General features: G+C 40.4%; 2 protein-coding genes and 1 pseudogene across 4 annotated transcripts in view, besides 10 other annotated features; 1 reads left to right on the forward strand and 2 right to left on the reverse strand.

The window, feature by feature from the left end:
- Positions 961-5,052, reverse strand: LOC124901355 (translation initiation factor IF-2-like). Its single transcript, XM_047419630.1, has 2 exons — positions 4,781-5,052; positions 961-3,107 (listed from the first exon to the last, which is right to left on the reverse strand). Exon 2 carries the CDS (start codon positions 2,191-2,193, stop codon positions 1,513-1,515), a length of 681 nt encoding a protein of 226 aa, XP_047275586.1. The 5' UTR covers positions 2,194-3,107; positions 4,781-5,052; the 3' UTR covers positions 961-1,512.
- Positions 1,593-1,662: an enhancer, noted in NCBI's record as "active region_24792". NCBI's record gives its function as "activates an Ori minimal core promoter by ATAC-STARR-seq in GM12878 lymphoblastoid cells {active_cell/tissue: GM12878}" and the evidence as "EXISTENCE:reporter gene assay evidence [ECO:0000049][PMID:35858748]".
- Positions 1,863-1,982: a silencer, noted in NCBI's record as "silent region_17371". NCBI's record gives its function as "represses an Ori minimal core promoter by ATAC-STARR-seq in GM12878 lymphoblastoid cells {active_cell/tissue: GM12878}" and the evidence as "EXISTENCE:reporter gene assay evidence [ECO:0000049][PMID:35858748]".
- Positions 1,863-2,394: a biological region, named in NCBI's record as "H3K27ac hESC enhancer GRCh37_chr6:87861807-87862307".
- Positions 1,894-2,394: an enhancer, noted in NCBI's record as "H3K27ac hESC enhancer chr6:87861807-87862307 (GRCh37/hg19 assembly coordinates)". NCBI's record gives its function as "activates a minimal SCP1, AML or CMV promoter by ChIP-STARR-seq in primed H9 embryonic stem cells {active_cell/tissue: H9 hESC(primed)}" and the evidence as "EXISTENCE:reporter gene assay evidence [ECO:0000049][PMID:30033119]".
- Positions 4,908-5,067: an enhancer, noted in NCBI's record as "active region_24793". NCBI's record gives its function as "activates an Ori minimal core promoter by ATAC-STARR-seq in GM12878 lymphoblastoid cells {active_cell/tissue: GM12878}" and the evidence as "EXISTENCE:reporter gene assay evidence [ECO:0000049][PMID:35858748]".
- Positions 5,338-5,677: an enhancer, noted in NCBI's record as "active region_24794". NCBI's record gives its function as "activates an Ori minimal core promoter by ATAC-STARR-seq in GM12878 lymphoblastoid cells {active_cell/tissue: GM12878}" and the evidence as "EXISTENCE:reporter gene assay evidence [ECO:0000049][PMID:35858748]".
- ZNF292 (zinc finger protein 292) overlaps positions 5,370-24,533 on the forward strand; it is a 110,379-nt gene continuing 91,215 nt past the window's right edge. For all 3 annotated transcript variants that reach the window (XM_047418459.1, NM_001351444.2, NM_015021.3), the window contains exon 1: positions 5,370-5,564. Coding sequence is in view for 1 of the 3 variants with exons in the window: in NM_015021.3 (NP_055836.1) it covers positions 5,397-5,564 (168 nt within the window). In the remaining 2 variants the exon portion in view is untranslated. The remainder of the gene's footprint in view (positions 5,565-24,533) is intronic.
- Positions 6,189-6,796: an enhancer, noted in NCBI's record as "H3K27ac hESC enhancer chr6:87866102-87866709 (GRCh37/hg19 assembly coordinates)". NCBI's record gives its function as "activates a minimal SCP1, AML or CMV promoter by ChIP-STARR-seq in naive H9 embryonic stem cells {active_cell/tissue: H9 hESC(naive)}" and the evidence as "EXISTENCE:reporter gene assay evidence [ECO:0000049][PMID:30033119]".
- Positions 18,494-18,995: an enhancer, noted in NCBI's record as "H3K4me1 hESC enhancer chr6:87878407-87878908 (GRCh37/hg19 assembly coordinates)". NCBI's record gives its function as "activates a minimal SCP1, AML or CMV promoter by ChIP-STARR-seq in primed H9 embryonic stem cells {active_cell/tissue: H9 hESC(primed)}" and the evidence as "EXISTENCE:reporter gene assay evidence [ECO:0000049][PMID:30033119]".
- Positions 18,996-19,495: an enhancer, noted in NCBI's record as "H3K4me1 hESC enhancer chr6:87878909-87879408 (GRCh37/hg19 assembly coordinates)". NCBI's record gives its function as "activates a minimal SCP1, AML or CMV promoter by ChIP-STARR-seq in primed H9 embryonic stem cells {active_cell/tissue: H9 hESC(primed)}" and the evidence as "EXISTENCE:reporter gene assay evidence [ECO:0000049][PMID:30033119]".
- Positions 21,746-22,587: an enhancer, noted in NCBI's record as "OCT4-NANOG hESC enhancer chr6:87881659-87882500 (GRCh37/hg19 assembly coordinates)". NCBI's record gives its function as "activates a minimal SCP1, AML or CMV promoter by ChIP-STARR-seq in primed H9 embryonic stem cells {active_cell/tissue: H9 hESC(primed)}" and the evidence as "EXISTENCE:reporter gene assay evidence [ECO:0000049][PMID:30033119]".
- Positions 22,977-24,068, reverse strand: LOC100418923 (RNA polymerase I subunit F pseudogene; annotated as a pseudogene).

Raw genomic sequence — 24,533 nt, forward strand, 5'->3', positions numbered from 1 at the left:
ACCCCGTCTCTACTAAAAATTCAAAAATTAGCTCAGTGTGGTGGCGGGCGCCTGTAGCCCCAGCTACTCGGGAGGCTGAGGCAGGAGAATCGCTTGAACCCGGGAGGCGGAGGTTGCAGTGAACCGAGATGGAGCCACTGCACTCCAGCCTGGGAGACACAGTGAGATTCCATCTCAAAGAAAAAAATAAAAATAAAAAAAAAAGAGAATATTTTTGTAAAGATGTGATAATGTGACAGAGGGTAAACACTTGGTGGGAACAACAATTCTGGCCTGATACATGAGCTGAATACTACTCAAAATGATATTATTTACATTATTATTATTGTTGTTATATTGAAGAACATATCTATAAGAATTACAGAAACCAGCAAAACTAAGAAGTTGATGTCCTAAAATGGGAAGAGACCTGGGAATTTCCAAGTTTGTCACATCTGCACAGTATTATTTCTTTAAAAAGCCAAATGCCACAAAAGTTGTATTCTCTAATTTTTTTAAATAACCTTGAATTTCTGATGAGGCAAATGAGGCACAGTGATTAAAATTTAGAAATATAGGAAAAGAAAGGCACTTTAAAATATTTATTTCTCTCTGATTCTTTGGAGAAATGCTGTGAACCAACTCCAGGATTCTCTATAGAAACAGGCTGGGTGTGGTGGCTCACGCCTGTAATCCCAACACTTTGGGAGGCCGAGGCGGGCTGATCATTTGAGGTCAGTAGTTCGAAACCAGCCTGGTCAACATGGTGAAACCCTATCTCTACTAAAAATACAAAAATTTGCCTGGTGTGTTGGTGGGTGCCTGTAATCCCAGCTACTTGGGAGGCTGAGGCAGGGGAATCGCTTGAGCCCGGGAGACAGAAGTTGCAGTGAGCAGAGATCGCGCCACTGCACTCCAGCCTAGGGAGACAGAGTGAGACTCCGTCTCAAACAAACAAACAAAAGAACAATGTATAACACATTTATGCTTCCAAGATTTTATTTTGCTTTATTTCACAATTATTTTCATCTTGGTTAAATTAGAAGGATAATTGAGGCTCTATTAAAAGCATGTTCTTTAAATATTATTCTCCTTATTTGCATTTGGCTTTTCCTCAAATGGAAAGGAAAACGATATCCAAATAGACAATTTTTTAAAATCCCTCCTTATTTAATTACCTGTTCATATAAATATATGAAAATATATATGCTAGCCTTTTTTTTTTTTCTGGGAAAAACTCAAAGGCTACAATTAATCCTCTTAAATGTGAGTCCCATGTTTTCTCTGCTTTTGGAATCACTTCAACATGTGGCACAGCACCTGCCTTAATATTTTTAACATTATATTGACTCCTTTTGCTGTTCCTCTCGAAGAAAATGTCTTCCTTGGAAAAGTGTGGTGTCTAACCGATCCCAATAGCGCTTTAACCCATGCTCTTTCTCTTTGCATCTGTGGGCACAGCACTGGTTCCCAGACTCTGGGGGTGGGGGTGGGGGGTTTCTACTGGACCAAACCCAGGATAGACTCCGTCCCTCACTTCTGAGATCCAGAGGCTGCCTGTCTGTGGCTGGGCTGCCCAGCCCTTTGGAAGAGAGTAGGTTGATGGAGCCTCTTCGAAATCAGGCAGCAGTGCCCGCGCCACGGCCTCTGCAGGACAGACTCCAGCATCCCCGGGGTGGGTTTCCGGAGGCCCCGCTCCCCGCCGCGCCCTGGAAAGGCTCCAGAATCTCTCGGCCTGGAGGCCCCTGGCGGCCTCTGCTCCCAAGCGGGGAGTCGCAGCCAGGCTACAGCGGGCTTGATCCTCAGTGCTGGGTGGAAAAACCGCGGCGGCAAACGCCGGGCCTGCAACTGCTGGGTGTCGGCGTTGCTGGTTCGCGGGCGGCGGCGGCGGCGGCTCCGCGACAACAGAGGACGCGAGCAACCGGCGCAGCGCCCAGCAGGGCCTTGGCGGGGTGGAGGGGCGCAGGCTGGGTTAGCGGAGCAGAGCGGACCGATCTGGTGCCCTCCGTGGCCCGAGGCCTGCGGACCTTCTCCGTTCTCCGGCCCAGGGCGAGAGCGGGGCAAGAGACAGCGCCCCGATAGTGGCGCACGCTCTCCGCCATCCCCGGGCCTCGCGCTTTCACCTCGCGTGCTGGGGCGAGGGCGGGGCTGCGGGGTGTACTGGGTCGGGGGTAGGAAGGACCTGCCAGGCCTTAGCCCTGAGCTATCCGTCATCCGCTAACGCCGCGCTCCCTGCATCCCTGGCTTGGCCCCCAGGCTCTGCGCCGCTTGTCTGTAGCAGACACAACTCAGCTCCCTTACTGTCCTCAGGCCCGGCTATTTCAAGAATTCCAGAAAAAGAGTGCACCGGCGTGTGCGGGCCGGTGCTGCCCGGAAAACCCGTGAAGCAGGCACGCACGGCCCGGATGCAAGCACATCTGTCCCCTCCCCCAAAGGTCTCCCCAGCTTTATTGATCGCGTGGGTGCGGGTAGGGATCTAAATTTGTCTCCCAGATTTTCTCTGAAATCGAGTCTCTTGGGAGTGAAGGTCCATATGATTACACCACGTCCTTAGCAGTCGCGTTGTGTTCAAAATGGGCATGGGTGCTCGCGGCGCGGATACTGAGTTCCCCAGAGACGCGGAGTCTTTTGCCCCAGGGGCTTATTCTTGTTTTCTCAATGGAACAGGTCTTCGAATCTCCCCAGGAACATCTCAGTAAGTAGGGGTGTGCGTGTTTGTGTGTGTGTCAGTGTGTGTGTGTAAATGGTTCCTATGAGCTGACAGTTTGGTATTTAAAGAACAAATGGACATAAGCACAGAAGTCATGACTTTTCTATGGATAAGATTGAGATTTCTGAGATTTCCAAGACAAGGTTGACCTGTCACGGGATAGTATTTTCAATCCTTCTCATTAAAAAAAAAAAAAAAAAAAAAAGCCTGCACTTATGTAGAGATTCGTTGGACATTCTTGTTAGTATCTGAGATTACTTTGATGTTCTAAGTTGAATACAGGCATGCATTTTCATAATAGAACATTTGTCATATCGTATGTATTCCCATTGCAGATCATTTTCCCACAAAACTGTAAGCTTCTTCAAGGCAGGAAGAGCTTTTATTCGCCTCTGACTTGTCCCAAACCAAGTAGTGCCTGCAAATATCAAGTACACAATAAATGAGTGTTAATTACACCACTCACCCCCAATCCTTACATTTCCTGTAGGCTCTAAATATTTCTATGTGTGTGCAAAGGAGAAGAAATGGAGGAATGTGGACATAGGGTTCACAGATACTAAATAAACATAAAGACATGGCCATCCATGCTGATGGACATTTACCAGATAGTAATGGTGCTCAGAATCAATTTGCTAATCAAGTCTCCATAGTTTTAGGGTTGTTATGTGCAAGAGGTAGGAATGACCTACATTATCAGGCAATTCTCTTAAAAATCAATATCTGGATATATATGTCTCCCACCCCTCAACCCCCATTTTTTCTTTCTTTCTATAGATTAGGTGTGGTGTAAACCATTATACTTGAAGTGGAAATGAGCTTGCTAACCTGTGATACCTTACCTTGGATTTACGGGTACATTTGGCTAACCTCATATTTCCCTTTTTGCATTTTTTCACTGGAATCCTAAGATAACATAAACTGGTGAAACCTGGTTTGGGTATCTAAAATACTTAACTTGGGAAAGTGAACTGAAAATATTAAAAATCATTAGCTGCCTTAATTGTTCCTTTTTCAACTCAGTGATACTATTATATCCTCTCTTCTCAGCCTTTGAATGTACTTCCCAGTCTCTTCCATGAGTAAACATTTGAAGATTAAACATTTGAAGATTCTACCTTGTTAATATGTAATATTAACTGATACTGTTTTTCATAAGGGGTTTAACTGTGCCTGGTCACCTTATATAATGCCGCTTTAAAAACATCACCATCACTGATGCGTTATAAAACATTTATTCTGGACAACATAGTATGTAGAACACTTTCCATTAATTACTAGAAATCTTTTGAAGAGGACGCTGCCCACAATGGGAAGTATTTTTATTTTAGATCCTTGTACTAAAAAAATATACTTCACTCAGAGTAAATGAAAAGACTGGGTGCCTCATCAATATCATTGTTTCTAAATTTCTGTAGACTATTCAGTTGCAAGAGAGATAGGTCTTTTGTCTAATGCTCTAACGGTAAAAAAAATATTAGTTTTATTAAGAACTTTAGGGTTAAGCTCTTGGATTTTTGTAGCACCTCTTCTACTCTTTTGTTCAAGTGCCAAGTATTAATTCTTTTCAGCTTGTAAGTAAAATGTGGTTCAGAATGCTACCTCTATTTGTAGCATTAGGAAAAAAAAATGCTGTAGATATTTATAATAATTCTCGACAATATTGTTTTATTTTAGCATCAATTTCCTCTCCTCCGTTATGATTTTTAATGGAGTCCTTATTGGTGTTTTTTTTTTCCTTGACCTACTTTCTTTTCAATAGCTTTCATATATAGCCTGTTGTCATTGTTGGTGATTTCTGTAGAGTGTAGTAGAGTCTAAATCACGGTGAAACAGAGTAGTTAGTTATCACTTATTCTAGAAATGTTTTCGTGGTTTAAAAGTCATCTGGTCTGTTCATATTCTGACTTCTTTTAAACTATGCTTTTCATGAATTTGCTCCGTTCTCCAGACTGAGGATTGAACCTCATTCTGCTCTGACCCAATTGTTCTTTTCCTTTGTTGCCTCCACCCCCTAGAGAATGTGTTTCCAGGGGACAGGCGTTCTTGGTGCTGAAGAGGAGGAGAGTCAAGTGAGACGAGATCTGGTACCTCACGCACTAGATCCCTCCTCTCCGGCCTGGTGAGAAGTCAGAGACAATTTTGACAGTTCATAGTCCTGCCTTGGCTCTCACGCTTGCGGTCCATGGGCGGGTTTTACCTTCTCTCTCTTCCTCTGCTTCTGGCCTGCTTACAGGCCAACAGCAAATGCAGCCATTGCCCGAGACCACTCAGAACTCTCCCTGTGCCATCCTCTTGGGGAACAGGAGGATATGTCCGTAGAAGACTTCGTGGACTGGGGAAAGCCACGCCGGGATCGGGACGCCGGAGAGGGTCGCCCCTCCCTAGGCTTTTTCCCGTCGCGGCGCCCACGTGACCGAGAGCAGGCCTTCACCAGCCCGCCCCTTTCGGCCGCTGCTGCCCACTTCCCGCTCGGGGTAAGTAAACCGCCGTTTTCCGCACCGCCCCAACCCCGCCCTTCTCCTTTCCCCTTGCCTTCACCTCCCTCGGGCTCTCTCGCGCCACTCTCCCCACCCCCATATCTTCCCCATCGGGCCCTTTGTACGTGCTCGGCGCCGTGCAAGCGCGCCCGGCACGTGACCCCGCCGAACGTGGCATTGTGTTATCACGTGACCCAGGTGCGTACGCGACGGAGCGGGGTGTGAAGATGGCGGACGAAGAGGCCGAGCAGGAGAGGTTGAGTTGCGGCGAAGGCGGCTGCGTCGCGGAGCTGCAGCGCCTGGGCGAGCGGCTCCAGGAGCTGGAGCTACAGCTGCGGGAGAGCCGGGTACCGGCCGTGGAAGCGGCCACCGACTACTGTCAGCAGCTGTGCCAGGTGAGGGCGCCCGGTGGTCCCCTCCCCCTTTCCCCAGCTAGAGGGGGAAGAGGGCGAGCGAGCGCTAGGCGGCCGAGAGGTGGTCGCCGCTTCCTTGGCATCATCGGCGCCTCCGCCTGGGTGGGAGCGGGAGTAGAAGGAAGGCGCCTTTGTGTGGCTGCAGTTGTGGCGGTTGTTGTCGTCTGCAGCTCCTGGCTGGGGGAAGGGAGTTGCGGTCAAGGCGGAAAATCCCCCCTCCCCTTTCCTTCCCTGAACTCGGGACTGCGCGGTCCCCGCGGCTGAGGAAATGTACACGGTGCGGATTGGAGAGAGTAGGAGAATGGAGGCCAGGTTCTCTTCCTCCTCCTCCTTTTATTGTGCACTGGGGATTACCGCGCCTCCCGCCTCTGCGCCTCTGCTTCCCACTCCGACGGGCCTCCGCCCCCACTGGTTTGATTCCTTTGCCTTCCCCTGCTTTCATCCGTCCCGCCCCCCAGCCCCGGCCCTGTCCTGGCTGTCTCCGGGCCTTTGTTGTTCGAGTTTCGCCTTAGGACTGAAGGGGCCTTTGTTGATGTTCGGAGGAGCAGTCCCCGCCGACCCCTTCTAGTTGAGCTAGACGTTCGGGAGGGGGTGCTTGGCGGAGGTTGTCCCCTCCTGCCCATACTTGCTTGCTTGGTGCATCACTTCTGTGGTAAAGCTTTATCTCCTTAGTGTAGAGGAGCTGTGCCTGTACATCTGTCTCAGGTTGAGTGTCCTTTTGGGGCGGTTTTTCCAGAGTCCGTTTCTCATTTGCTTTCGCCCTTCGAGGAGTATGATTTCCACTATCCTTTCTGTCCCGATCACCCCCTCACCCCTGTTTCTTGGAGTCCTTCCTATTTGGCTTCCTGATGAAGTGGGAGAAGACTGAGGTTCATGTGGATCTGTGCTTTGGGTAGTTTCAAATCTTTTCTTTGCTTGCCCAAGGGCACTGCTCACCAGTGACTGCATTCTAACCAGAATTTGGAATGTTAATAACACTGTTTGCTAGTGATGAAAATCATTTCATCCATGGTGAAAATCGGAGAGTTTGGGACTACATTTGCACTTCATTACGAGCCTTACACTTAGGTTTAAAATTTCAAGGTAGTGTTGCTGGCTCTGGTGAAGACTTTGATTTGATTGTCTTGAGGAGGAAAAAGAAGACACAATTTACACAGGTCATATTTAGAGTTAACTTGTGAGTGTATCATTACAGAGAATTCGTTTTGGAAAAATACTGATCTTAACGTAGAACAATGGTTGACCATTTTAGCTGAGTAGATTACATTTTCACTTATTTTTTAGCTTCCAAATATTGAAATATTTTCTTTATTATGTCGGGGATACGTGATCACATACAAAAGAATCTCCGTTGCTGTATGCACTTTATTGTCACAAATTATTTGATGGCTGTTCATAATCTTAAAAACAAAAACTGTGAGATCAAGTGGTGACGTCTAGGAGGATGTGCAATGTGAAAGCTCCCTACTTAGGTAAATAGGTCTGGTGAGTACCTGTGGCAAAATTAAAGTCTCATTCCTTTGAATTTTAATATTTAAAAATTGTTGAAATTTCTCAGTTTCTCTACTTTGCAGTACCCACTCATTCTTAATTGGTCTTTAAAGATTTATTTTAGAGATAAAAAAATTTCTCTAAGATACCCATAATAGGAAGTATTTCATTTGTAAGTCGAATCAGTTTTTATATAATAATCAGTGAAAACTATTAAAGTCTAGCTTTGCTGAAAGACATTTTCCCCTAATAGTGTCCACTGATAGTTTTAAGGCTAATTACTGTAAATTCTTTTTTTGTCAGCAGTATTTGTAAGCAGGATTAATAATTCTGGGAAAATAGAATCTCATGCAAGCTGGACTCCCCCCCGCTTTTTTGTGAGTGTGTGACGTTGTAAAGTTATCACTTAAAGATTTTTATTTATTTATTTATTTTTGAGATATGGAGTCTTGCTCTGTCACCCGGGCTGGAGTGCAGTGGTGCGATCTCAGCTCACTGCAGCCTCCATCTCCTGGGTTCAAGCGATTTTCCTGCCTCAGCTTCCCAAGTAACTGGGACTACAGGCGTGCGCCACCAAGCCCAGCTAATTTTTGTGTTTTTAGTAGAGATGAGGTTTGGGGTTTCACTGTATGTCGGCCAGGCTGGTCTCGAACTGCTGGTCTCGAACTGCTGACCTCAAGTGATCCACCCACCTCTGTTTCCCAAAGTGCTGGGATTACAGGTGTGAGCACCGCGTCCCGCCAGACTTGAGTTTTTTAATGAGTGAAACAGCATTTTAAAAATCAGAATGAAAGTAATTTCCTATATCAGTTTCATTAAGTGATTAGTCTTGCCACATAAATTGTTATTGATGCTACTGACAAAAAAACATCAAACACTAATGAAACAAATGCTGGATTTGTGGATTTCAAAAATTATAAAATATTTCATACACTGTAAGCTCAGAATAATTTAAATACACTTAAAAGTAATCTCCATTTGAAACGATACAGAGTGTGTCTGATTTCCTCTGGAACATTTTCTGGGGTGGGGTTTTTTGTTTTGTTTCTCAGGTAACCTATTTATGTTAGTGATCTTGTCAAGTGGAGGTAACTTGAAACAATTGTTTATTTATGTTTATTTACAGGGGTGGAGGTGGCTCACACCTGTAATCCCAGCAGTTTGGGAGGCCGAGTTGGGCGGATCGCTTGAGCCTGAGCAGCATGGCGTGGCCCCTTCTCTACAAAAAATACAAAAAACAAAACAAATCAAAAAAATTAGCCAGGCGCTGTGGCGAGTGCCTGTAGTCCCAGCTACTTACGAGGCTGAGGTGGGAGGATCATTTGAACCCGGGAGGCAGAGGTTGCAGTGAGCAGAGATGGTGCACTGTGCACACTCCAGCCCGGGTGACAGAGAAAGATCCTGTCTCAAAAAAATAAAAAATAAAAATAAAATTGTATCTTAGCAATTATCACCTAGCATTTTGATACGAAGTTGAGTGAAGCAATGGTTAACAATTAAAGAATTTATTGGCGCAATCTAAATATAGTACCAGGGATACTAGGAGCTAGAAATTATGTCTTAGTTTCTAACCTTGAGATTATTATTTAACTTTTTCTGTTTAAGCTTTTCCTGTAAAACTGGGATAGTCACACGCTTCAAGAAGGCAAAGATGAATAAACGTTTGTCAAAGTTAATGGGCTTCAGAATTAATATTCTGTCAGTGTTGATGCTCAGTGCTTGTGTAACCCTTAGTTTTGCATTTACTTTAAAAAATGAATTAGTTTACATTCTATGTAATTTTTATGAGCAAAAGTTCAGTTTCTGGAGAATGTGGTGAAACCCACAGAAACAGGAGTTGCTTATGATCCGTAGTTTATAGATTTTTATTTTTGAGTGAGGTAGAAGATTAATAGATTTTTTGAATTCTGAGTAGCAGAATAGAAACGAAAGGCATTAAATGTTTTTCTTATTAACAGTGTTGTTTTGCTCATTCTGGAAATAAGCCACCTGCCCCCCCTTTGCTTATTTAAATGAGAATTTGCTTAAAGCTTAAGTGGGAGGAGGGAAGAGTAAGTAGAGGATGGGCATAGTAGAGCGCCCGTCATAAATTTTAAATTTTTTTATATATTTTATTTTATTTTTGAGAGATGGGGTCTTGCTACATTGCCCAGGTATGATCATAGCACACTACAACCTCAAACTCTTAGGCTCAAGTGATCCTCCTGTCTCAGCTTTCTTTTCTTTCTTTTTTTTTTTTTTTTTTTTTAAAAAAGATGTAGTTTAACTCTGTCACCCAGGCTGGTGTGCAATGGCGCAATCTGGGCTCACCACAACCTCCGCCTCTTGGGTTCAAGCAATTCTCCTGCCTCAGCCTCCTGAGTAGCTGGGATTACAGGCATGTGCCACCATGCCCGGCTAATTTTGTATTTTTACTAGAGACAGGGTTTCTCCTTGTTGGTCAGGCTGGTTCCGCCCCTCTTGGCCTCCCAAAGTGCTGGGATTACAGGCGTGAGCCACCACGCCCGGCCCTGTCTCAGCCTTCTAAGTAGCTGAGACCTCAGGCATACACCACCATGCCCAGCTCTTAAATTTCCTTGTATCTTTTCAAAGTTAGCTTTAATATGGGCAATATAACCAACTCATTTTCTTAAAATTGACTTAGAATAAGTATATAGAATAACCAGAAGTAATTTCTTGCATTTACTTGTTTTAGGATTATTACTGTATTTATTATACAAAAATTGGTTATAATTGGAACCTTTTAGACTAGTTAATTGTATTAGACTGGGCCAGTAGTCACTCATTCAACATTTCTATTGAACATCTACTGTATACAGGCTAGGCAAGGATGATCATGGTCCCTGGCTTCAAAGAGTTTATAGTCTCTGGAGGAAGGTAGACAGATAATCGTAGTAAACTATGATTTATATATTTTATCACTGAGGTGAGTACAGTAAAGAGGGAGGTTATTTGGGAGTTTTAAAAGAAACATTCCAACAGAGGAGTTGTTCTAAAGAGATTTTAAAATAATAGTTCGTTGGAAAAATTGGCCATTGTAATAGTTGATTTGTTGGAGTATGATATTTGCTGACAGCACTATATACTGGACTGGCCGACTGGTTGATTGTAACTGTTATTGACCATTGATCAGTAGTGATCTGGTGGCTGACAGTTGTTTTGAAGGGTTGAATTACAGTCGTGTGTGTATGTGTATACATACGTACATGTGTTTGTATATATATGTGTGTGTGTGTGTGTGTGTGTATATATATGCAAGGACCTAGGTTTAGATGTTACAGAGGATATAAGATACAGGAGACTCTAATAAAAAAATATGTTTGTGTGTATATATACATATATACGATGTGTGTGTGTATACATACATGTATACGGTGTGTGTGTGTGTATATATACATATATATGATGTGTGTGTGTATATATATATATATAATTTTCTTAGTTCATATAAGCAGGGCTTCTCAACTGGGCATAGTACTTTCCCTACCTCCAGTTCTCTCTTTGATGGCACTTAGAAATATGTGGGATCAGGTTTTTGGATGTTGCTATGACTAGGGATGTGGTACTGGCATTTAGTGCCCATGAGCTTCAATGCTAAGTTTTCTGAAGTGATCAGGACCGTCCCAACAAATGAAAGCGTAATTCCTCTAAGTACCCTTTTCAGAAACATTGAACAGAAAGAAAAATAGTATATCTAGAAGATTTTTTTTTTTAGTCCTTCTACTCTTTTCATATTGAGATAGTTAAGCTCCAGAAATATACTTTATTTGGAACAGGTCCAGGTAAATGATATTCAACAATATTTAAGTATAATTTATACTGACCATGAGAGGTCAAGAAACTTTCTACTTTCTTAGCAGAAATTACAAGCAATTGCATAAACAGTTAGTAAAACAACTTTTGCTAGGTTAAAGAGGGTAGCAAATTCAGCATAATTATCCTGATTAAAGAAAAGATTTGACATTTTGATATAATAAATTCTGTACTTTTAAGAAAGCATTTATATGCAAGGACCTAGGTTTAGATGTTATAGGAGATAAAAGATACGGGCAACTAGTGGGATATAAATTAGTAAGATAATATTTAAATATCACTTCAAAATGACAGCTGAAAAGATGTCAAAAGGCAGTGTATTAACTAACAAATTGTTTTGCTTTATTTTTATTTTTTTGAGACAGGGTCTCCACTCTGTCACCCAGGTGGGAGTGCAGTGACACAGTCACGGCTCACTGCATCCTTGACCAACTGGGCTTAAGCGATCCTCTTGCCTCAGCCTGAGTAGCTGGGACCACAGGTGCACATCAACATGCCTAACTTTAAAATTTTTTGTGGAGACAAGATCTCCCTACATTGCCCAGGTTGGTCTCAAACTCCTGTGCTCAAGCAGTCCTCCCACCTTGGTCTCCCAAAGTGCTGGGACTATAGGCGTGAGCCACTGCACCCAGCCTGGTTTTGCTTTTTTGTTGTTTGTTTTGTTTTGTTTTAAATTGAAAATGTACTAATTGAAATGGTTTTTTAAAATTCACCCTGAGAAAGGGCATACAATGAAAACTTGATCTTTTTCCCATTCTAGAGTTCCAGTCTCATTTCCACAAAGACAAATCCCCTAATGGTTTCCAGAACTAGTTTGCTCTTTTTAAGAAAATAAAGATAACTACACTGTATCTTGCTTTCCCTCCCCCCAAAAGCATCTTCTAGCTCATTCCATAGCTGCTCATGTAAGTTTTTGGCTTTCCCTATTATAGTATATAGTAATTCTAGTCTATGGCTGGGTCTAATTAATCAGTTCATTATCAGTGGATATTTAGGAGAGTAAGTTAATTTTATGTATAGCAACTTAAAGAGTTCAAAGTAGGTAGTAAGCACTTCAGGCTGGGGTATCAGGGAAGGCTTTCCTGAGGAGGTACTATTTGAGCTAGTCTTCATTACCTTTGTTAGCCATTATTGGTGCCTGATTGGTATAAGAAATAAAAACCAAATTAAAACTGTTAGAGCTACAGAATGTTTAGATTACATATTTAGGACATTTCTTTGTATATTTTATGTCTCATCAGTTTGATACAAGTTGATTCTTTTGTTTATATACATGTTACATTATAACTGCAAGATCTTTGAAACTAAGCATTTTCCTTAAAAATTAGACTTTCTTTTTGACTATTAGAGGCTATCTTAATTTGTAGGACACTTTAAATCAGAAGAAAAGACAGCTTGCTTGTTAATTAGTGATAATTACTTTAGGTATTGAGGGAGCAATAAGTCATTTAAACTTTTAGAAGTTTAGATAGTGCTCATGGGAAATAATTTTTTAAATGTTCATAATTAGTATGATTGCATGTTAGAGATAATAAATTCTACTTTGCAGAGTATGCTTATATCAATTTCAGCAAAACTAAGCTTTGCTTGCCCCCTTCTTATCCTTTTTGGACCTAAATTAAAATGAGGGAAGAGAAGATTTATTCTGCAGCTGTACTTCATAACATTTACTAACCTGCCAAACAGGATTTTCATAGGTTTTTAACTATAAAACTGCTGCTCTACTTATTTTCTTGAGATTCTGTCAAAGGTGAGAGGTTACATTATTTTTCCCAACTCCTACAGATAAATTCAGTTTATAAAATTAACCAATCAGTGTGAGTATGCTCTTATAGTTGTAAAATGGAAAGTTTGCTTTCATTAATATGTTTGTCAGCATACATACACTGTGACTTTTAACAATGTATTATTTTCCAGGAGAGCCTCCTGATTCATTGTTTTTCTTTTGGCATTGGCAGTTGCACAATGTATCTCAAAAGAAAAATGTTACCTTTTCCCCCTTGACTTACATTAAAAAAAGAAAGACTAAAGTCTCTAAGTATATATGTTCAGCTAAGAAGATTTGTTAAAATTCAGTTACATACATAGGGCTGGGCGCGGTGGCTCACGCCTGTAATCCTAGCACTTTGGGAGGCCGAGGCGGGCAGATCATGAAGTCAGGAGAGCGAGACCATCCTGGCTAACATGGTGAAACCCCGTCTCTACTAAAAATACAAAAAATTAGCCGGGTGTGGTGATGGACACCTGTTGTCCCAGCTACTCAGGAGGCTGAGGCAGGAGAATGGTGTGAACCCAGGAGGCAGAACTTGCAGTGAGCCACGATGGCGCCACTGCACTCCAGCCTGGGTGACAGATCGAGACTTCGCCTCAAAAAAAAAAAACCCCAAAAAAACCACATACATTTTAGTTACATATATCTTTTGATTTATTCTAATCAGATGTTTAAATTGTTCTTATGTGGGAACACTAAGGTAGCTATGGAGAATTATGGAGTGGACCTCCACCCATAAAGAGCTTACAAAATCTATAGCATGTATCAATTGTTAAGTGACAGTATTAGATAGTAAGGCATCTAGTGGGGTAGTAAGCATGGATTAAGAGAAGTAGAGCATCTTGAAATTATTTTAGCTGAAAATTGAGCAGGAAAGGAAAACAGTATTTACATTGGATCTTGAAGGATTTTGGATAACCAAAGAGAAGTGGGAGGGATGAGAATAAAAGCTCAGATAAATGGACCAACTATTCAAACTGGCATTTTTGGAGAAAAATGCCAAGTGATAGGATTGAAAGGATAGATTAAAACCAGACTAAGACTTTAGGATGCCAAGCCAAGAAGTTTTGATTAATCTTGTAAGTGTAGATTTATGGTTACATGGCCTAAAGACTCATCCTTCTGAGTTTGAGGCATTGAAATAAAAGTTAATTTCAGAATGTTACAACCCTTGTTTCGCCCACCTCGCCCCGCCAAGTATCGTGTATCAGTTATTGTCATGTTACAAACTATCCAAAAACTTAGTACCTTTAAAAGAACAGCCATTTTTATTACTGTTCACAAGTCAGTGGGTCTGCTGAGTGGTTCTGCAGTCAGCTCTCATGTTTTCTGGGGCTGAATAGTCCCAGATGGTTTCATTCATATGTCTGGTGGTTGTCAGACAGGCTGGTCTAAAGGCTTCACTTGGGCTGGCTCATTTTTCTGTTCTTAGCCTTCTCTAGTAAGGTAGTCTGGATTTCTTTACATAGCATCAAGAGAGTAAGTTCTTTTCCACACATGCTTTACTTTGTATGCCCCTCCTGGTGTCATATTTATAATGATGTCCCATTAGCTACTGCCAATTAAGTGGTCAAACTCAGCCACCTTGTGGGAAGGGGATCACACATACTATGGGTACAGGGAGATGTGATTCTTTAGGGACCATTTCTATAACACTCTACCACATGTCCCTTTTCCCTTTATTCCCTACTGTAGTGTGAGGCACTTTTATGGGACACATTTAATTTTTTTCCTTTCAATAGCACTGCTTCTGCTTTCTTTTTTGTCACTCATCTTCTCTAACCACATCTGACTGTCCCTTCGATTGGCAAAAGTCATTCGCATTCCTGCTTTCTGATCTCAATCTCTAAATAGAAGAGAGGCATCCCCGCCCCATCACTGAGACTTTAGAAGATTTGTGGAATGACCTCTTTTTTTTTTTTTTTTTTGATATGGAGTCTTGCTCTGTCGCACAGGCTGGAGTGCAGTGGGGTGATCTCGACTCACTGGCAACCTCTGCCTCCCAGTTCAAGCGAGTCTTCTGCCTCCGCCTCCCAAGTAGGTGGGACTACAGGCATGTGCCACCATGCCCGTCTAATTTTTTTTTTTTTTGGTAAGAGATGGGGTTTCACCATGTTGGCCAGGCTGGTCTCGAACTCCTGACCTCTTGATCCGCCCGCCTCAGCCTCCCAAAGTGCCGGGATTACAGGCGTGAGCCACCTCACCTGGCCAGAATGACCTCTTTATTTACTATGCTTGTTTACCTTGATATTAAACCTGGTCTGAATTTGTTGTGTTACATTATCTCTACCTTGTATAGTCTAATAATGACATCCTAGTTCTTGTCCCAATGAACTCGCTTTTAACATTCCTTTTGGTTTTTGAAATTCCCCAAAGTTCTGCTTTTGTCTTTCTCAGTGGCAGTCTACCTCTTGTAACAGTGTTTCTCAGATTTCAGTTTGCAGAAATCAAAGAGAGTAAGTCTGTAGATCTCAGTTAGAGTTACAAGTTATTAACCTCAGCTTATCCAGGTTGAGCATTTCAAATCTGAAATGGTAAACACTTCTGGTCCCAAGCATTTTCAGATAAGGGATACTCACCCGGGAGTAAGATATAACTTTATTTTACTTCACCATTTAGTTGTCACACTGAAACAAAATGACCACAAAACCATACTTATCTTTACTATGTGTGGCACATTCAGTTTTTCACTTATTTTAAAATGTTGCTCTTGATTTTATAATCCACCAATAGGTCATAACCCACAGTTTGAAAAATACTATTTTAGAGGGTCACTGGGATTCAATTCAGTAGTAAGTAAAAAAGTAGGCAGTTCCTATGTTTAAGCTAGTCTTTTAGTCTAGTTGGCCCAGAACATTCTTTTATTTAGGAGAAGCATCAAAATTAAAATACATGTTTACATTTCTTTTTTTTTTTTTTTTTTGACATAGAGTTTCGCTCTTGTCTCCCAGGCTGGAGTGCAGTGGCGTGATCTCAGCTCACTGCAACCTCTGCCTCCAGGTTTAAGCGATTCTCCCGCCTCAGCTTCCCGAGTAGCTGGGACTACAGGCAGGCACCACCAAGCCTGGCTAGTTTTTGTATTTTTAGTAGATACTAGGTTTCACCATGTTGGCCAGGCTGGTCTCAAACTCCTGACCTCAGGTGATCTGCCTGCCTTGGCCTCCCAAACTGTTGGGATTACAGGCGGGAGCCCTGTCACCTGGACAGTTTTACATTTCTTAAAGTGAATGCTAGAAACCCAACATATTATGTTCACAGAACCCGATTTGAGAAATACTGATGCATAGGAAAAAATCTGCATTTAAGCATGAACCCATTGCGCTCTCCCTCCATTGTTTACTTTTTTCAGCATTACTTTTTATTATTCTACAGGAACTTCCTGCTCCCTTTAAATTTATTAATTTCCTCACAAGCATATCTGTTCATTTTACTGCCTTTGTGACTGCTTAGATAACTTTGCAGTGTTACAATAGTGGAAAGCCAAATGGCTTTGGGTTCAACTATGAGCTCCCCCACAATCTGGGAGAAATATTTAGCTCTGTAAGTCATGCTTTCTTTGAAAAAATAAGGCTGAGGTAAGGGATGATAAACACCTACCCATAGAGGGTAGTAAGAGACACTGGTGAAGGCTCCCAGCACAGTGTCTGGCACAAGGAAGACATCATAAACAAGTAGTTTTTGAATCATTCTCAACTCTACCTGTACCTTAAAGCCCAGCATGATCACGTATTTTCCAAGTATACCCTTCTCTGGTCTGCACTTGCTCTGAGAGTTACTTTTGACTTCTGTCATTGACTATGTTATGTTGCTTGTATAGCATGGATTTTTCAGTATAATTTAACTTTATTTTCAATGGTTGAAAATTTTTTCAAGCTTTGTCAGTTTTGGTTAGAAAAGTATACATGAGTCATAAATATGTATGCATTTGTTGCCTTTTGTTTCTATATTGCATGCTCTATGTCCTCAGATTTTGGATTCCTTCATTGTACATACAATGCTTTGATGTAGTAAGTTCTCCATAAGTATTTCTTTGAGATTTTTTTCTCAGAGCTTTACTTGTCCTCAGATATTAACACTTTTGAGTTTTGATTTGCCCAAGGTCCCAGAGTTAGGATATGGTTAGAATCCAGGTTCAAATTAAGTATATTTTGCTGCCTGTGTTTTCCGTGTTCTATTGTTAAAGAGTTACTTGACTCTTTTCCTGAAATAGGTTATACTGTTTTATTGTAGTAGTGTTGGAAAACTATTTTAATAGTAAAAATACTACCATTTATTTCCTTAAACTAGGAAGTGAACTGCAGGAAAAATCATTTATTTATTCCATTAGCAGTTACTTGGTGCGTGATTTGTGGCAGACACTGTACTATTGGTATAGGAAAAATTTGCTGTCACTTCAGCGAAAAACTTGCAAAAGTTAAACTTCTGAAGGCAATCCTGAAATCTTTTTTCCCTCAATACATTTTGTTTTCAGTTAAAGTACAGCTGACTCTTGAATCTTCTGTTTTAGGCCAGGTGCAGTGGCTCATGCCTGTAATCTCAGCACTTTGGGAGGATGAGATAGGTGCATCACCTGAGGTCAGGAGTTTGAGACCCACCTGACCAACATGGTGAAACCCCATCTCTACTAAAAATACAAAAATTAGCTGGGCTTGGTGGCACATGCCTGTAATCCCAGCTACCTGGGAGGCTGAGCAAGGAGAATCACTTGAACTAGGGAGGTGGAGGTTGCGGTGAGCCAAGATCGTGCCATTGCATTCCTGCCTGGTCAACAAGAATGAAACGAAACGCTGTCTTAAAAACAAAAAACAAAAAACTTCTGTTTTAATGACAACCTTGCTGTTTGTACATTTAGTTTTCCTGTAATACTTTTGAAATTATGAGATTGAGGAGAGCTATGTTTGTCAGATATATTTTACTGCTCTTTATGTGGTTGAGAAAGTAATTTGAACTAAGATTGTGTAGGAATTCTTCGCTGATTCAGAAAATGCCACCTAACTGGCATTCAAAATTAAAGCAAATATGATTATCCAGAGTGTAGTCCTTTCTTTACCTATAAAGGCAGAACCAAAAGGACTCTTAGTGAAGCTTCTGCATTGTCTTTGGTTGAAGGCACCTATCCTCACTCAGACTGTCATTGTCCAAAATCAGTAATGTTGTTTTACTTACAAGTTAGGAAATTCAGTTACCTAATTTCCATAATCTGCAAATGGGCGGAACCTTGGAGTTAGAGGCAAGACCAACCAGATTGAAGAGAAAGGGAATCAGTATTCAGAACAGGCACTGTTAGATGCTTTACTAACGATGAATTGTTTAATCTGAAGACCTATGAGATCATAGGATTCAAGAACCATTTAGTTTTAGTGTCCAAGTTAATTCAAATTGCCTTGTAGGACCTCATCATTACTACTATGTAATACTTGCTCAGTATGACCCAGTGTCATCAAAAAATGTTAAATTTTATTAAGTGATTGTTTAGGAAGACTGAGGCATATGGTTAAATGGCTAAAACTAAGCAGCGCTTTAAAAAATAAAATTTCAAATACCTGGAAAATGTCTTCATGTGGAACATTTGGCATCCTTATTGATGCCTGATATATAGGAGGTGATGTTATATATTAGCTTCGTAATAGTTTTTTTTGAGGTCGAGTTTCGCTCTTGTCAGGCTGGAGTGCAGTGACATGATCTTAGCTCACTGTAACCTCTGCCTCCTGGGTTCAAGTGATTCTCCTGCCTCAGTCTCCCGAGTAACTGGGATTACAGGTGCGCACCTCTGTGCCTGGCTAATTTTTCTATTTTTAGTGGAGACGGAGTTTCACCATGTTCGCCAGGCTGGTCCCGAACTCCTGACCTCAGGTGATCCGCCCACCTCAGCCTCCCAAATTGCTGGGATTACAGGTGTGAGCCAGCGTGCCTGGCCAATAACAGGTTTTATATTTAGAAAGAGGTAATTAAATTTAAAAATAGTATGATCATCCCTCGGTATTCGTAGAGAATTGGCTCCAGGACCCCCCTTAGATTCCAAAATCCCCAGATGCTCAAGTCCCTTAAATGAAATGGCATAGTATTTGCATATAACCTAGCACATCCTCCCAAATACTTTCTCTGTAGATGCTATGTAAATAGTTGTTATACGGTTTTGGTTTTTTGTTTGTATTTTTATTGTCGTATTGTTACTTTTTATTGCTTTTTTTTTAATTTTTATTTTTTTGAGACAGAGTCTTGCTCTGTTGCCCCAGCTGCAGTGCAGTGGCACCATCTCGGCTCACTGCAGCCTCCGCCTCCCGGGTTCAAGCGATTCTTGTGACTCAGCCTGCCGAGCAGCTGCAATTACAGGTGCGCCACCATGCCCAGCTAATTTTTGTATTTTTAGTGAAGACGGGGTTTCACCACGTTGGCCAGGCTAGTCTCGAACTCCTGACCTGAAGTGATCTGCTCGCCTCAGCCTCCGAAAGTGCTGGGATTACAGGTGTGAGCCACTGCGCCCAGCCTCCTTTTTTTTTTCCAGTGTATTTTCCATCGAGTTTTGTTGAATCTATGGGTATGGAACCCATGGATACTGAAGGCCCCCTGTAATTAACAATTGGCTTGGTTCCTCATTGCAGACAGTGTTATACAGATAATCAGAAAGCTATTATATCAGCTATTTCATATAAATAATTTAAATTAAGTCTAGCACTAATTTTGATTTACCAAAGTTGATTGAAGTAGTTATTTGTGATATTGAGAAAATTATTTCCAGTAAATAGGAATGATTATGCTACTTTTAAAAGATGAGCCATTAGCATTTAGTTGTTTTTTTGTTTTGTTCTGTTTTGAGACAGGGTCTCACTGTCACCCAGGCTGGAATGCAGTGACGCCATCAGAGCTCACTTCAGCGTCCACCTCCCGGGCTCAAGTGATCCTCCCACCTCAGCCTCTTGGATAGCTGGGACTACAGATGTGCGCTACCATGCCCAGCTGATTTTTGGAAATTTTAGTGGAGACAGGGTTTTGCCATGTTGCCCAGACTGGTCTTGATCTCCTGGGCTCAAGCAATTTGCCCATCTCAGACTCCCAGAGTGCTGGGATTACAGGCGTGAGCCACCGTGCCCAGCCTAGAATTTGTATATACTCAAAATAGTTTACATTTTGCATTTTTCTACATGAACATATGCATGTATTGCTGATCTTTCCCTACTTTTTGCAAATATGATAGATTTCACTATATACAAAACTTAAAACATTATACATTAACTCAAAAGCATTGTCAATTTATATTCTGAAATAATGCAAATTTTAATTTTTTTAAAAACAAAACTTCTACAAGATTATTATATTATTTTAGGAGACTAAAACATAAAAGCCTGATACTTAAGTAGTTTGAATCTGGTGATTTATTCCATGACTTAACCTATTCATATTTGTATAATCTTATTTTAAGCCTTGGCTTGGGATTTTTTTTAATTGCCTCCCTAAAATAGGATAGTGCACATTGCATAAAATGACATTGTCAATAAAATTTATATCCTCAAACTGACCATGAAGTTCATCAGCATGAAGATATTTTGTAGAAAGCATTTCTGAATGCATGTGTCATAAAACTGCTTCTTTAGTAATTAAGAATTAACCCTAGTAAGTGAAGTTGAATATGTTGGCAATAAATTGATCAGTATATCCAGTATTGTGACTTGCTTATGAAATATTTTTGAAAAGATTACCTGATACTGCAAATTCTGCCTAAGGAGAAATTATTTTCAACACCAAAAGACCTTTGAGGATTTACCTATAATTGAATGAAAATATTTGTGGTGTGGGTTTTTTAATCCATGAAAACCATCCTTTATAAATCTTGTTTTATTTGAGCAAAAGAAACTACATCCTAGATTTTGTCTTTCATATATAGTTTGCTTGACAGCCCATTAGATACTGTGAATTAAAATCTTGGGATTCTAAGGATGTTGGTTTTTTCACATATTGTTTATTGTGACCTTGGCATGCCACTTGTAGCTTTTCTTTGTTTCTTTATCCTTCAAATGGGGACCTTTTATGGTTGTTATTAGAATTGATGAAAGCCATAATTATTTTAAATGATTGTTGTAATATAAAGTAACATTTTCATTTACACTTAGACTACTTTGGAAACACTTTGGATGTTTTATGTATGATATGACCTAGCATAATTTTAAAACATTAATAATTCCACTGTTTTCAAGTTACCCATGATTATCACTTTTAAAAATAACATTAAATTACTGATTAATTTGTTTGAAGCCTACCTTTTAAAGAAAGTAGGATTAGACTTTATAATAATTTATAAAAGATACTTTTGCATGTGTGTGGTGGAGGGTTTGGAGTTAGTTGATGGGAGTGAATGTGCCAGGAGATTAGTGGCTTTATAGTTGAAACCTTTCCTTTGTCCAAAATTTTAAACTAGAATTTGAGAGGCTGGGGATGAGAGAGAAGCTGGGATTATATAGTAACTAAAAGAACAGATTTTGAACTATGATTTGAATTCCAACTCTGGCACTTCCTGAAGGACTTCAGGGTTGTGGTTTTTTGTTGGTTTTTTTTTTGTTTGTTTTTTTAATCTCTGTTCTTACATATAGACTAGAGGTAATAATATCTGCTTCAAGCTGTTGTGATTAAGGCATAATGTTTGCTGAGTACTTTGCTTATTATGGTGCTAGAATTACAGAGTAATTGTTAGCTATTAATACTTTTAAGAGGAGTAGATCCAAAATGTTCCCTCATAAAATAACATTAGTTTTAAAAAGTTATTTAATCCACTATACCAAAAATGTTGTAATTTCACCAACATAAAAATTGACATAGTTTACAGTCTTTTTTGTACATCTTCAAAGTCTGGTATGTATTTTATACTGATGGCATATGTCAGCTTGGACTAGTTAACATTTCAAGGGCTGTATACTCACATGAATCTCAATTGTAATGAAATATACTGGTTTGCACCCTTTCATTGTCTGGCACATCTACTTGTAAACCAGTGGGAATGTCTGCCACTCTCCAACCTCTATATCCTATCATCTAGATTTAAATCAAGATATACCACTAGCGGAACATACTTATTATTGAACATTAAACTATGAGATTAGCACTATGTCTGGTACTAGTTAAATGGCAACAAAAATGCCTGACATGGAGAGTTCAATTCAACCATTTATCTGTTTGCAAATACTAACAAAGGTAACTGTGAATGGGCAATCTCTTTTTCTTCATAGCACTTAGCACAATTACTAATTTTCTATAGTCTCTTATACTGTGTACTCTTTACCCTATGATACCCTATGAGGGAAGGAACTGCATCCACCTTGTTTGCTACATTTTCTTAGTGAAAGCAGTGAACAGCTGTTTTTCTCTTTAGAACAATTTATGATAGCCTACCCCAATCATTAAAAAGTAATCAGGAAATTTCCCAGTAGTCAGAATCACATTTATCTTGCTTTCATCCGACTACTCCTCCAAGACACACCAGAATCAGAATGGTTGAGGCACAAATGGACAAGTAACAAAAGAACAGCTCTTTTCATCAACCTCTTAGACTTAAAGAAAAAAGAAAACAATACATATGCACCTGGTGGGAAAGAATAGTGAGTATTGTTGCCCAGGAGTCAGTGAGTGGCGTGGTTCATTAGCACCCTGGAGACTAATTAAGCATTCTTTAGAATGTTTAACCATTCTAAGTTAAACAATAGAAGTACTATAGTAGTCATGATAAAAGGAAACCTAATACCAATAAATGCCCTGAGTTTTTCTAAATGCAGAATAACATAGGACCAGGCATGGTGGCTCATACCTGTAATCCCAGCACTTTGGGAGGCCAAGGCAGGTGGCTTACTTGAGCCCAGGTGTTTGAGACCAGCCTGGGCAACACGGCAAAACCTCATCTCTATAAAAAATAAAAAATATTAGCTGGGCGTGGTGGTGCACACCTGTAGTCCCAGCTACTCAGGAGGCTGAAATGAGAGGATCACCTGAGCCTGGGAAGTCGAGGTTGCAGTGATCCAAGATTGCACCACTGCAATCTGGGCGACAGAATGAGACTCTGTCTCAAAAAAAAAAAAAATTTTTTTTTAATTAAAAAATGAAATGGCATGTAATGATTAAAGGTGAAATCTGTTTCAAATAAAATTAAAAACCTATATTTAACTCATTTTTAATGATGTAATATTGTATTATAATTCTTTCTGATAGTCTTAAGATTATAGGAATAACTTTATGTAGTATAAAACCTGGAAAGATGGAAGAGTTGAGAGTGACAGCAGCTCTTACTTTTTTATTCTATATACAGTAAAATGGCACTTTAATAATATTGGAATTCTCCAGATTAATTTATTGTCAGTTTTGTAATTTTGGCACAAAAAAAAATCCAACTCCTTATCAAGTGTTCCCTGTTTTGTAAACTGCTGATGTACACTAGCATTCCATATCATTCAAAACATTTATTCATCCATTGTGTATAAGTCAATCTTTTAAAAACTGAATCATATTTAAAACTCCCTAAGGAAGATTACTTTTTTATTTTCTGTTTAGGCGAGCATTCCAAAAGTGGGGTAAATTTAGCTTCTTCACTGTGTTTCTTTCTTTTTTTTTCTTTCTATGGTCACTTTGATAACTGCTGGAGTCACTGCTTTGGAAAACAAGGTCCTAGTCCTGATGCTTTTTCTTTTTCTCCTCCTTTGGCTCATCTTCCCAGAGGCTATTCACATTAGTAATAATCTGTAAGTCTAACTCTTCCTTTGGGGTGACATCTGCAAAATTTGCTAGCTTGTGGTACCATCATCCACTTCATTCATCTCTGGGTCTTTCTGGTTTCTCTTTTTCTTCTTTGGAAGTTTTTCAAAAGCTTCTTCAGTGCTGGTTTATCAGAAACTTCAGAGCTCTTGGGTTGTAAACTAGTGATTGTTTTCCCTAAATGCAGAATATTTCAGTAGCATCTTAATCTAGATGAAACACTTCATATTCTGGTTCATCACCCACATTTATCTCCACAGCCTGCCACTGCTCAGCTGACATCTCAGGTTTAGGGATGGACGTATTAAAATATTTTTGTACAAAATAGCCAGTCTGACTAGAAGACACTTTGTTAACTGTACTATAACCTTTTACCCTGGTTCAGGGCAGAAAATAACAAAATCTGCTTCAATGTTAAGATTAATGTGTCCTTGATCATCATAAATATCTCCCAGTTCACCACAACTTTCATGTTATATGCAATGGGGACACCTAAAAGGCTCTCAGAATAGTGCAGGAGCTTCACATTAAGCTTCTCTGCAATGCCAGTGTATTTCCTGTTAAGGTAGCAGAGTGATGTGCTTTTGGCTGGGCCACCAGGCAGGAATTCACCAACACCCAAGCAGCAGGATAGGTCGGCAGCTCTAGGAAAGGAAGGACATGTTCAGCCTGCGGCACCACCTCTGAACAACCTGCAGCCGTGTGATTTGTCCAAGAACATTAATCTTAGTGTTAATAAAATACTGTTCAGTTTCTTGTCATCTAGATAGTGGTTTTACAGTTAAAAAATAGAATAGGGAAACTCCCTTTTCTCCCCAGTCTTACCTGATACCTTGATGTATAAAATAAAAAAGTAACTGCTGCAGAACAGTTTGACAAGTAGTGCTCTAGAATATAACAGCACTGTTGGCAGGGGTCATGAGGGGAGTTAAAGTGTAGTTCTCTTCTGACAGTATTTTCTTCCTAAACTGGTGTTTTTTCCTCCTATTTCCTCTTTCTACTGCTTGCTTCGCTGTACTAAGATAGTGAATGTTCTTGTCCTAGAGTCATAATAAAGCCATTCCTGAAGAGTTTCATACCTTTGATTTAATTTTTAAAGACTTACGCTGCTTATTCTTGTCTTACGTACTAAGGCCCATTAAACT

Source organism: Homo sapiens, chromosome 6 (assembly GCF_000001405.40).
Source record: "Homo sapiens chromosome 6, GRCh38.p14 Primary Assembly".
Taxonomy (NCBI): Eukaryota; Metazoa; Chordata; class Mammalia; order Primates; family Hominidae; genus Homo; species Homo sapiens.